The sequence below is a fragment of the Homo sapiens genome, chromosome 1 (assembly GCF_000001405.40).
Source record: "Homo sapiens chromosome 1, GRCh38.p14 Primary Assembly".
Taxonomy (NCBI): domain Eukaryota; kingdom Metazoa; phylum Chordata; class Mammalia; order Primates; family Hominidae; genus Homo; species Homo sapiens.
Window position 1 is genome coordinate 15,090,997 of NC_000001.11, and position 12,637 is coordinate 15,103,633.

Below are 12,637 nucleotides of genomic sequence, written 5' to 3' on the forward strand. Positions count from 1 at the left end.
GGGTTTGTAACTTGAAAAAGTGAGATTTCTAGGCTTTTTTCTACATATCAAACATACTATAGTCAATGCAGAAAACTTGGGAGACAGAAAAGTATGCACAGTCACAAATACTCTCACACTCACACGGGCACATTCACACACACACTCGCACAATTACCTATCACTTCTTTTCCAGAGACAGACTTTTCATGTTGATCCATCTAGTACTTTACATATTTTTATATACTAGATTTTCTCCACCTAGTATATTGTATACACACACGTGTATATAATAATTATACACTTTACATCTACATATAATTTTTAAACCACAGTCAGGGTTACACTGTGCCTGCTGTGTTTTGTTGTTTTTTGTTTTTTGTTTTTGCAATGGAGTCTTGTTCTGTCGCCCAGACTGGAGTGCAGTGGCACAATCTCGACTTACTGCAACCTCTGCCTCCCAGGTTCAAGTGATTCTCCTGCCTCAGCCTCTGGAGTAGCTGGGACTACAGGCGTGTGCTACCACGCCCACGCCGGGATAATTTTTTGTAATTTTAGTAGAGATGGGATTTCACCGTGTTAGCCAGGACGGTCTCGATCTTCTGACCTCGTGATCTACCTGCCTCCCAAAGTGCTGGGATTACAGGCGTGAGCCACCGCACCCGGCCGTGTTTTCCTTTTTCATTTGGCAGTAGGTGGTGGATGTTTTCCCGTGACAGGACTTTTTATTCATTGCACATATTCCAACATATGAATGGAGCGTCATTCCTTCAAACAAACTCTCATCAATAACCATTCATATTGCTTCCTAGTATTTAATTTTTCCAAAGTTTTTATTACAAAACTATACATGTTTACTAGGGAACTTTGAAAATACAGAGACATACAACAAAAAGAAAATAACCATATTCTCCCCAGCACAGAAAGGCAGTAACTATGAACATTTGTGTAGACTTATCACCTATTGTTTTAATGTTGTGTCCTGTCTCTATGGATGGATAAGCATTTTTTTTTTACATTCTTGTAATGATTTATAATATTGAATTTCAGCAGGGTCATTTCTAATCAGAGGTTTTGTTTTTTTGTTTTTTTTTTTGATTTTTTTTTTTTTTTTTTTGGAGACGGAGTTTCACTCTTGTTGGCCAGGCTGGAGTGCAATGGCGCAATCTCGGCTCACCTCAACCTCCGCCTCCTGGGTTCAAGCGATTCTCCTGCCTCAGCCTCCCGAGTAGCTGGGATTACAGGCATATGCCACCACCCAGGCTAATTTTGTATTTTTAGTAGAGACGGGGTTTCTCCATGTTGGTCAGGCTGGTCTTGAACTCCCGGCCTCAGGTGATCCACCTACCTCGGCCTCCCAAAGTGCTGGGATTACAGGCATGAGCCACTGTGCCCAGCCAGTCAGAGTTATATTTAAATACTTGTTGTTTCTCATGGTATTGAGTTTGTCTGTTTGGGTGTGTGTGTGTGTTTTTATTTGTTTTGTTTTGTTTTGTTTTGTTTTGTTCTGTTTTGAGTTGGGGTCTCAGTCTGTCACCCAGGCTGGAGTACAGTGGTATGATCTTGGCTCACTATAACCTCCGCCTCCCTGGCTGAAAAGATCCTCCTACCTCAGCCTCCTGAGCAGCTGGGACCCCAGGCACACGCCACCACGTCCAGCTAATTTTTTTGTATTTTTGGTAGAGATGGGGTTTCACCATGTTGCCCAGGCTGATCTCAAACTCCTGAAGCTCAAGCATTCTGCCCACCTTGTCCTCCCAAAGTGCTGAGATTATAGGCGTGAGCTACCACGCCCGGCCTGTTTAGGTTTTTATCGAACCCTCTTTTAGAGAGATTCTTTTCCCCTCTCAATTGAGTCTCTGTAACCTGAACTTTTCATATTTACCAGGCCTTGATGCAACGAACCATATATAGAAGAGTGGGGTTAGAAAATGTTGGTGGATGAACTTTTTTTTTTTTTTGGTCTGTGAGGGCCATTCCAGAAACAGCTTTCAGTGTATTAAGGAATGGAGCTGGGTTCCATTTATCCTACGAAAATAAATCACCCAGTTGCCCAAAGACGACTGCCGCTGTGTTGTTTACAATAGTGAAAAATTGGAAACAACCGCCATGCCCATCAGTAGGAGGTGAAATAAATTACGGAGCCTCCTTCTGATGAATCCCGCGCAGTCAAAAGGTACCGCAGGTCTCTGTGGAGATGGAACAGTCTCCTCCACAGCGAAAGTGAACAGGCATATCACAAATGCACACACCTCAAATGCACGCACCCCGTAAGCAAGCGGGTCTGTGTGTGTTTGTAAGTGTGGCTTTTCTGTATCCAGAAAAGAGTATTTAACAGCTGCTGTCTCTAGGTGGTGTCGATCTAGAAGAATGATGAGACAGGTCTCAGTCATTTTAGGAGGTGTATTTGTCAAAGTTAAGGACGCGCGCCCAGGAGACAGGTCTGTGCCTTTCTCCGAAGATGATTTTGAGGCCTCCAGATTTAAAGGCGAAAGGATATTGAGAAGCACACAGTTTCATGTAAGAGGGGGGCGGGGGAAAATAATCATTCGTGCCTTTGTCTGGCCCAGTGAATCTGCATTTTTACATAAGGTAACATAGACAGATGGGGAACATGCAGGAAATCGACATTTTTACATAAGATAAAGATAAATGAGGCAGGGGAACAATCAGATATGCATTTGTGCCAGGTGAGCAGAGGGGTGAATACTGTGTAAAGATAAGCTATCCATTTACATTGCCATGGTGAATTTTAACAGAAATGCTTTAGGGTAAATATCTCCAAGCTCGCCAGGAATTTCCTTGTGGGCAAAATATGAGGGAGGTGTGTAGCAGTTCATCTTATTTAGGAATCAAAACGGGGAGGCAGGTTTGTGTGACCCAGTTCCCGGCTTGACTTTTCCCTTTGGCTTAATGAGTTTGGGGTCCCAAGATTTATTTGCCTTTCACAGTCACGTGGGGTGATCTTCATTTACTGTTTTATTTTTTTCTGGGATAAGCTTTTCTTCTTTTCTTTTCATAGATTACTTTTGTAATGGGGGCAAGGGCAGAAAAACAAAAACGCCAAAAGCCACTTTGATTTTGAAGAGAATACATGGAGGGGAGGATGTCCCCACCACCCTCTGCCTCCCGGGGGTATGGCCTGCCCAGCCCCTGCCCCCAGCAGCCTCGTCCCCCAGCATGGCCTGCACTTGTGTGTTGCAGACTCGGACAGCCAGTGCAGCCCCACGCGGCAGAGCCTCAGCCTGTCGGAAGGCGAGGAGCAGATGGACCGGCTGCAGCAGGTGGAGCTGGTGAGGACCACCCCTATGTCCCACTGGAAGGCGGGCACCGTCCAGGCCTGGCTGGAGGTGGTGATGGCCATGCCTATGTACGTCAAGGCCTGCACGGAGAACGTGAAGAGCGGGAAGGTAGGCAACTCCGGGCCCCCTATGGGATGCCACCCATGCCCTCTGTGAGCTTTACGTACCCAGAAGCTGGCCTGCCCCCCACTCCTACCCTGGAGTCAGGAGAAGGTGCAATCTAGGAGCTAGCCAATGCAATCAGCCTCTGATGTACCTGCTCATTGTGCCTCCCTGGCAAGGCAGAGAGCCCTCAGCTGCCTCATCCTGACAATGGACCCAGGTTTCCTTTACCTGCCTAAGGGAAAGGGCTCCCTCTGCCTGAACAGGGATTCCGCCCCACATCAGAGTTGCAGAGGTTTCCATGTGCCCTGACCCCACTGTATGAAAGGTGGGCAGGAGATGGGGAAGGAGCCCCATGTCAACAGACCCCCTCTAGGGCAGGAACCCCGCCGGCAGCTGTCCCAGCCCCCATATGACACTCCCTCCCGGGGGCAGGTGCTGCTGAGCCTGAGTGACGAGGACCTGCAGCTGGGCCTTGGGGTGTGCAGCTCCCTGCACCGGCGCAAGCTGCGCCTGGCCATCGAGGACTACCGTGATGCCGAGGCAGGCCGCAGGTGAGCCCACCACGAGGGGCCCCGGGGGAGGAGAGAAAAAGTCATCCTGAGGCCTTTGGTCACACAGGTGGGGTGAGCGGGGCACTGTGGGCTGAACCAGGTGGTGGGGGACAGCAGGGTGTGACTAAGATGGTCCGGGGATGCCCCTGATGAGGGGGCTTGGGCATACCCCAGCCCTGCTCTGGGCCAGCCCCCTCCGTAGAAAGACAGACACATGGGGAAGACAAGAGGCCCCAAAGGCCCTAGTACACCCCCAACCAATGCGGGAACCTCACGAGCCCCCCAGCACTCCTCTGCCTTCCGGGACCAGCCCAAGCAGCTCTGCACACTGGGCCGCCATGGTGTCTGCTCCTGGTTCTTACCATACATAACAGGGTGAGGAAAAACGGTGCAAGGCAGAGCCGAGGCAGGCAGAGATCAAGTAGGCGTGAGTGGGCTTGGTGAAACCTCTCCCATAGAGGAGCGGGCCAGGTGGAGGGGGCTTCTCTTAGCAAGCATACCTGGGATGGCTGCAGGGCCTTCTCATCAGGTGTACCCCCGCAGGCCACCCACCCCCACCGCTCATACCACTCCTGCTCTGCCTCCGGCCTGCCTGCCTCTCTCCTGGCTTTCTGTGAGCAAAATTTGTTGAGCAGGGGCAGCTACAGGGTAAAGGGAAGGAACCCCCACCCCCACCCCGCCCCACCCCGTTCTGAGAATGTGGAGAGGGGAAGAACTCGCTTTGTAAATCTGACACTTCTGTTTTGCATAATTATGTCCTTCACTGGTTTCTCCATCATTTTTGTGTAGTTAGTTAATCAAACCTGGTGGTGTGTGCTGTAATTTGCAGAAGCAGCTTAGGGGATTTTTTTAGAAGCAGGGTTTGGGGTGGAAAATCGGCTGGTTTGGAAGCAGGAAAACCAAATCCATATGTGTGCAGGAGAGGGGCCCTCGGCATGACTCTAGGGTGGCAGGAAGTACTGAGGTGAGACTGGATCAGAAACTTAGGGAGCGACTCAGAGCAAGAAGGTGCCAGGCCTCATTGGCACCATCAGGATGCTGGCTCGTCTGAGACAGGGCTGGGCTGAGGGATGGGGAGGAGGGCCATGAGGGCAACCCCTGCTGGGCTTTCCTTCCTGAGGGTCCCAAAAACACCTTACACCCAGCACCCACCTCCTAACCAGTTCCATCCAGGAATCCCCTAAAGCCATCCCTGAATCCCCTCACCATCTTTGGTCACCCAAGTAGGAAATCCCTCCTGCCCCCTTACCCCACACCCAGCAGGGTCCATAAACACTGCCTGTGTTCAATGAACAGGGTGGGGATGACTGCTTCATCTTTCAAAAACTTCAGGAGTCTGGGCTACTGCCTGGGTTCCCCCTAAATGGGGATAAGCTTTTCTTCTTTTCTTTTCATAGATTACTTTTGTAGTGGGGGCAAGGGCAGAAAAACAAAAACACTAAAAGCCACTTTGATTTTGAAGAGAAGAAATGCATGGGGGGAGGACGTCCCCACCGTCCTCTGCCTCCCAGGGGTGCGGCCTGCCCAGCCCCTGCCCCCGACAGCCTCGTCCCCCAGCATGGCCTGCACTTGTGTGTTGCACAACACAGCCCCTAAATGGGGCTGTCTTAGTCTGCTTGGGCTGCCATAACAAAATGACACCATCTGGGTTGCTTAGACAACAACTTACGTCTCACAGTTCTGGAGGCTGGAAGTCCAAGATCGGGATGCCAGCATGGTTGGGACCTGGGGAGGGCTCTCTTCCTGGCTTGCAGAAGGCAACCTTCTTGCTGTGTCCTCACATGGGGAAGAAGGAAGAGGGAGGGGGAGAGAGTGATGTCTCTGGTCTCTTCCTGTAAGGACAATAATCCCATCATGAAGGGCACCCCTATGACCTCATCTAATCAGCTCCCAAAGGCCCCAGCCACAAATACCATCACATCGAAGGTTAGGATTTCAGCATGTGAATTGGGTGGGGGGCATGGCAGAGGGAAACATTTAATCCCTAACAGTGGCACCACGTTAACCTCCAGGAACCAGGAGTCTGTGGTCCCAGGGATCGTGGAGCCCCACCCTTAGACACCCCCAGGGCTTCCTGGAGGAGGCAGAGGACTTATTTTGAGTTTTCTACTCCCAGTGGGAATCTGGCCTGTCTCCAGTTTGCCACATGACCTTGCCCTCTCTGGGACTGTTTCCCACCTGAGAAGTGAAGGGAGTTAAATTAGGACAGTGGTTTTTAAACTTTTGAGGATCATGACCACTTTAAGAATCTAATAAGAGCTTTTGACACTTTCTCTAGAAAAAATACACAAAACTTCACAACTTTTCACTGTGTTGGGTTGGTGGGTGGGACTCTCTGGCCCACCCACTTTCAGGGCTCCATGGACTCGGGGGTAAGAACTCTAAATGAGTTCATCTTCGAGAACATTTTCAGCCATGACATCTTGTGTGACCATGGGCATGATGGCGTCCTCTCTGGGACTGGTCACCTTATCTACAAAATACCAATGACAAAACCCACCAACCCCTTACCAACCCATCATCACCTTATGGATATCATTTTATTTACCCTCACAACATCAATGCAGGATAGACATGCTTACTCCCATTTTAAAGATGGAGAAGGCCGGGTACGATGGCTCACACCTGTAATCACAGCACTTTGGGAGGCCAAGGCAGGTGGATCACCTGACATCAGGAGTTCGAGACCAGCCTAACCAACATGGTGAAACCCTGTCTCTACTAAAAATAGAAAAATTAGTAGGCGTGGTGGTGTGTGCCTGTGATCCCAGCTACTCAGGAGGCTGAGGCAGGAGAATTTTTTGAACCCAGGAGGCGGAGGTTGCAGTGAGCCGAGACTGCATCATTACACTCCAGCCCGGGCGACAAGAATGAAACTCCGTCTGAAAAATAAAGTCGGAGAAAATTAGATGCAGAGAAATCATGAGCATAAAGTCACACTACAAAAAACCTGACTTCAAAGTCAGTTGCCTTTCCAGTGTCCCATGCTGCCTTTGTGTTAAAAACAAGAACAATGACAGCTTCTACTACTACTATTTATAGAACACTAGGTGTGTCCCAGACCCTGTGTTAGGGGTTTTGCATTCTCCTCTCTTTTAGTCCCTACAACTCCATGAGGCAAGCGCAATTCTCCCCGTTTTACAGAGGAGAAAACGGAGACCCAGAGTTTCAAGGTCCCAGAGCTAAAAAGTAATAGAACCAGAACAGCTTCCCGTTTTCCGTGCTGCGCCGTGACCCAGACAATATCTAAATTTTGTGCCGTCCTCAGATTTCAGAGTCTAATCCGGCTCCAGTTCAGGGATGGGGCAGTGACAGATTTTATAAAATGTCTGAATTCCTTTTAAAATCATGCTGTTTTATTCAACTTGGGCTCTTACAATAAATAGCTCAAACCAACAGCTGGGAACGTATCGCCAAGCTGCGGCCCCATGGGGACACCCTTAATGAAAAGAGAACATTTCTGAAGGGCAGGAGCACATTAATTGTGGGCATGCAGATGGAGATTGCTGATTATGGATGGGCCCCTCTCGAGTAGGTTAAGTGGGGTGCCCCCTTTGCAGCTCTCCACCCCAACTCTTGTTGCACCATTGATTTGCTGACCAAACTCTTGCTTCAGAGAGGAGAGGAGGCCATTCTAGTCTTCATCAGTGACAAATCTGGCCCAGTGGCATCTGATTCAGAGGGCTGTGGGCTCCAGCTCCTGCCCGAGAGAACCGTCCTGTAACAAGGCTGAGGCCGGCCCTTGAGGGACTGGGAGGGGGACTGCCCCAGGACCTTTTCATCCTAGAAGGGAGGTTGTCTTGGGCCAGAAGTTTCCAGTTCAGGAGCTCCAGCTGGGCAGCCTCCAGGTGGACTGGGGCAGATGACCCGCTCACCCAGCACTGCTCTGTCATCCACACATTCGACTATGAGACAAACACTGGTGAGTGTGAACTCAGAGCCTGAAGGGGCCCTGGACATTCACAGATAAGCCACACCCCACCCTGCCCCCCAGGAGCTGACCGTCCAGTGAGGCAGCTGGCCAGATGCGTAACCATGAACCACAATGTGACTGGTGCAGAGATGGGGACTTCCAGGGGCTTTGGACACAGAGAAGGGCTCCTGACCCAGCATGACATCTTGGAAGGCTTCCGGGAGACCAGACGTCTCTGCAGAGTCCATAGGAGTTCACTGGGGGAAGAGGGTGGGGTAGAGGACAGGCCCGGAGACAAGGGGGTCCCAGTGGACCCAAGTGGTTCTGGGAGGCTGATGGGCAGAGGGAAGGAGAGTGAAGCCAAGCTGCAAGCCCATCCTGCTCTTAGCCATTATTCCAGGAAGCATTCAATCAGTGTCTACTGTGCACGTAGACTGTGCTGTTTGGCAGTGAACGCAGTTTCTGTCCTGAATGAGCTTATCTGCTAAGGTGGGGAAGAGAGAAAATAAATTAGTGGACAAACCAGCAATTGCTTAGGTTCAGTATGTGATTAGAGCTTTGAAGGAAAGCACTAGGGACAGTAAGCAGACTTGGGGGCAACTTCAGACAGCAAATTCAGAGAAAAGGGAGATTTGACGCCCAAGGGATGAGGAGGGGTGAGCCCTGGGCAGGGTTGCAAGGGGCTGGCCGGGGAGGGGAATGGGGGGTGAAGAGCTCAGTGCCTCCAGGAAACGGCCCCCAGGACCCCAAGCCCCATGTGCGTTGGGGGAGGGGAAGTCAGCCAGGGCCAGTGCAGGTGACCCTTGTGGACCATTCAAAGGACTTGCGATTTTACTCCTGCAAAGAGAAGCCACAGAGTGTTGAGCAGGGGAGTGCACGGTCACACTGACATTTTAAAAGGACCCCCTGGTGGTCCTGGGGGATGCGGAATAGAAGGGAAGCAAAGGCAGGAAACGGGGAGCAGCCGGGGAAAGTGGCAGAAACCCACACCAGAGACGCCTGCAGCTTAGAGCTGGGAAAGGAGAGAAGTGGACAGAGGATGCACTGACCAGAGTGACCGACAGACAAGGACGGGCTATCAGCTTGGGAGCTGGGTGACAGAGAAGGGCCCCTGGGTGACGGTGACAGTGACAGTGAAGGGGAACAACTGAGCCATTAAGTATGACACGTCTGTGACAGCCAGGCAGCGTTAAGAGGACAGCTAGAGGCTGAGAGAGGAAAGAGGAGCTCAGAAAAGAGCTCAGAGCTTAGCTGCTCAGAAGAGAGTGGAGAATTTGGGAGCCCTCCCTCACGGGTGCCTTCCAGAGCCCTGGAGATGGGTAATACAGAGACAGGAGTGCCTGGAGAAAGAGGGGAAGGGGTTAGGAGGGAAGAGGAGCCCATTGTATGGCAGCATGTACCCCAGCAGGGTGGTCACGGGATGCTGAATGCATATCCGGGCATGAAGGCAGGAAGGACAGGGAGGACCCACCCAGGACCCTCAGCAGGAGGGTGGCATGACAAGCTGTCTCTGGCTGCTGCCCCAGGAGCAGGGTGGAGTGGCTTTGCAAGCCCACCACTTTCCCTTTCACATACTGATGGCTTCGTGGCCCCCTGCACCTCCCACTTAGACCAGCGCTCTCCCACCTGTCAGACCTGGGGCATTTTGCAAAGTCCCTTGCAGGTGGGATGCGGTGATCCTCGTTCCTTCTGCAAGGCTGCCACTGTGTGGCGAGCAGCGGAATGACAGCCAGGCACAGTCACACATTCACCGGCTTGAAAATTCAAGCACTTGCGCACCTGCTGTATACGTGGTACAGGGGTCATTTCTATGTGGGGCACAAGGAAATCTGAGACCTGGCAGTGCAGTGGTAAGAGAGAGGGTTTGTAATCAGTCAAACATGGACTTTAATTCTGACTCCAAGATGAGCCACTGTGTGGCTCTAGGCAAAGTTGGAGCATCCCATCTGCAGAGCGAGGACGGCAGCTTTGCCTTCTTCGCGCATGATTAGGACCTGCCTGGCACACCTGAGTGGACACCCAACATCCCTGAAGCAGGAAAACAGACCGCAGAGCACTGGGGAGGGATGCGCCGATCAGGTGGGCCAAGCCCAGGCTTTGTGGGTCTCGGGGATGCTGTGGAGGCCCCCAGGGAAATGAGGGGGGCTTAGGTGGAGGGGCGGGGTCCCCAGAGGTGCTGCCTCCTGCCACACGTGGCCCTTCTGCTCCCCGCCCCTGCGCCTTCTCACCCTCGCTGCGTCTGAGTGTGGGATTCTCTCTTCCTGTTCCCTTCCGTTTGTTTCTCTGTTGATCCCTTTCTGTTCTTGAGTCTCGGTCTTTCTCTCTCTCTCTCTCTCTCTCTGCCTCTTCCTCTTTGTTCTTCTCTATCTCCCTCTGCTCCTTTCTCTCAGTGTCTCTCTCTCTCCTTCTCTGTCTCTTTCTCTCTTTGTTCTCTCTTTCTGTGTCCCTTTCTCTCTCTCTGTCTCCCTCCTCCATCCACCTCTTTCACCATCTCTGCCCTTTCTGTCTCATTTTTTCCCTTTTTTCCTCTTGATCTCTCGGCTCCATCCCTGTCCATGTCTGTCTCTGTGGCTCTCTTGGTCCTCCCCCAACCCCATTGCTTTTCCTCTCTCTGCATCTCCACCCATTTCTGCCCGTCCGTCTGTTTCTGCCGCCTTTCCCCACCCATCCACTCTCTGGCTATGTCTCCTCCCCAGCCTGTCCAAAGCTGCCGAGCTGGACCATCACTGGGTGGCCAAGGCCTGGCTGAATGACATTGGCCTGTCCCAGTACTCCCAGGCCTTTCAGAACCACCTGGTTGATGGGCGGATGCTGAATTCCCTGATGAAGCGAGACCTGGAGAAGCACCTGAACGTGTCCAAGAAGTTCCACCAGGTCAGCATCCTGCTGGGGATCGAGCTGCTGTACCAAGTGAACTTCAGCAGGGAGGTGAGGACCAGGGCACAGGGTGGGGGCACCTTCCACTGCCCACCCCTCCCCTCTTGGCATCTACTGTCTGTTCATCTGTCCACCCACTACCCGTCTATCCATCTGTCCACCCATCCATCCATCATCCAGCCATCCATTTATTGATCATCCGTCCATCCATCTACCTACCTATCCAGCCATCATCCAGCCAGCCAGCCAGTCAGCCAGCCATCTTCTCTTCCTCCTTCTTTCCAACAACCCCCTATTGGGCACGGGCCAGGCGCTGTGCTCAGTGCAGGGGAAATGGGAGCCCTCATCCTTGGAGAGCTAAGTGCTTACCAGAGAGAACCACAAGGAAGCTGGTGGTGCCAATATTGTGGGAGATTGTCCCAGTGAGGGAAGCCCAGGGTTTTATGAATACCCAGAGAAGATATACCTACTATGTATACCCACAAAAATTAAAATAAAAATTTTTAAGTGTTTGCTATTTTAAAAAAAAAGAAAAAAAGAAAACCCAGAGAAGTCTTCAGGGGGCTCAGGGATGGCTCCTCAGAGATAGCAACGACTAAATTGAGACCCGAAGGAGGAACCCCAGGGATCAGTAGAAGACATGAGAGAAAAAGTAACCCAGCAGAGGCAACAGTGTGGTGAAGGCCCAGAGGACTGATCCACGGCAGCAGAGTTGCTGAGAGTCCTGTTGGGTGGGGTGCTGGCTTTGAGGTGGGAGGTGGTGGGGGGTTGCTGCAGAGGTCACCAGGGGCCTGAGCTGCTGGGCACTGTGGGGCTGAGTCCAGGTAGCTGACTTTTCTTAGAGTGATGTCAGAACCCAACAATTCAGGGTCAGAAGAGGGACAGAAGAGGGGGCCATCCAGCCTTTTGTCCCCCTTCTCAACCACCCACTGAAAAGCATCCACTGTGTGCCTACTGTGAACCCTGGGGTCAGTCCCTGTGGGACCCAGGGAGGCCTGCGATACGGTGGCGAGATGGTGAGAGAGGACCTGGAATCAGCCAAACATGGGTTTTCATTCCAACTCCAAGACGTGCCACTGTGTGGCTCTGGGCAGTCAGAGCTCCCTGTTAGTGGAGCGAGGACAGCAGCAGTGCCTTCCCCATGCCACGCCGAGGACAGGGAGTGACAAGGACACAGACCCTGGCCCCAGTCCCCAGTCTGCCAAGGAGGCACGTGTGGGAGATCACAGCAGTTACATGTAAAAAGAGGTGCAGGGGCCAGGCCTGGTGGCTCACGCCTGTAATCCCAGCACTCTGGGAGGCCAGGGTGGGTGGATCACAAACAAGGTCAGGAGTTCGAGACCAGCCTGGCCAACATGGTGAAACCCCATCTCTACTAAAAATACAAAAAGAAAGCAGCCCGGTGTGGTGGCAGGTGCCTGTAATCCCAGCTGCTCGGGAAGCTGAGGCAGGAGAATTGCTTGAACCTGGGAGGCGGAGGTTGCAGTGAGCACAGATAGCACCACTGCACTCATGCCTGGGCAGCAGAGAGAGACTCTGTCTCGGGGGGAAAAAGAGATGCGGGGCACCCCCACTCCACACGTGGCCTCTGCGTGTCCCCTTGTCCCTCCGAATGACCCACTGTCTCCCCACAAGGCCCTCCAGGAGCGCCGGGCCCGCTGCGAGACGCAGAACATTGACCCCGTGGTGTGGACCAACCAGCGGGTGCTCAAGTGGGTTCGAGACATCGACCTGAAGGTGAGGGTGATAGCGGAGGTCGGGGTGACTCTCGGGCATACACAAACCCCATGCAAATCTATATGCAAATCAATATGCAAATCACATGCAAATCAATATGCAGATCTCATGCAAATCAATGGGCAAATCCCACACAAATTAATATCCCCTTTGTGTGGGCTGGAGCATCTTAA

General features: G+C 52.0%; 1 protein-coding gene across 10 annotated transcripts in view, besides 2 other annotated features; it reads left to right on the forward strand.

The window, feature by feature from the left end:
• KAZN (kazrin, periplakin interacting protein) overlaps positions 1-12,637 on the forward strand; it is a 1,225,220-nt gene that overhangs the window by 1,198,173 nt on the left and 14,410 nt on the right. For 9 of the 10 annotated variants that reach the window (XM_011541074.4, XM_005245795.6, NM_201628.3 and 6 more), the window contains 4 exons: positions 3,184-3,389; positions 3,819-3,937; positions 10,547-10,778; positions 12,363-12,464. In XM_011541074.4, coding sequence (XP_011539376.1) covers positions 3,184-3,389; positions 3,819-3,937; positions 10,547-10,778; positions 12,363-12,464 — 659 coding nt within the window. Of the gene's footprint in view, positions 1-3,183; positions 3,390-3,818; positions 3,938-7,931; positions 9,934-10,546; positions 10,779-12,362; positions 12,465-12,637 lie in introns of those variants that run through there. The other variant, XM_011541080.4, reaches the window with a different exon arrangement.
• Positions 9,427-9,476: a silencer, noted in NCBI's record as "silent region_295". NCBI's record gives its function as "represses an Ori minimal core promoter by ATAC-STARR-seq in GM12878 lymphoblastoid cells {active_cell/tissue: GM12878}" and the evidence as "EXISTENCE:reporter gene assay evidence [ECO:0000049][PMID:35858748]".
• Positions 9,714-10,423: an enhancer, noted in NCBI's record as "H3K4me1 hESC enhancer chr1:15427206-15427915 (GRCh37/hg19 assembly coordinates)". NCBI's record gives its function as "activates a minimal SCP1, AML or CMV promoter by ChIP-STARR-seq in primed H9 embryonic stem cells {active_cell/tissue: H9 hESC(primed)}" and the evidence as "EXISTENCE:reporter gene assay evidence [ECO:0000049][PMID:30033119]".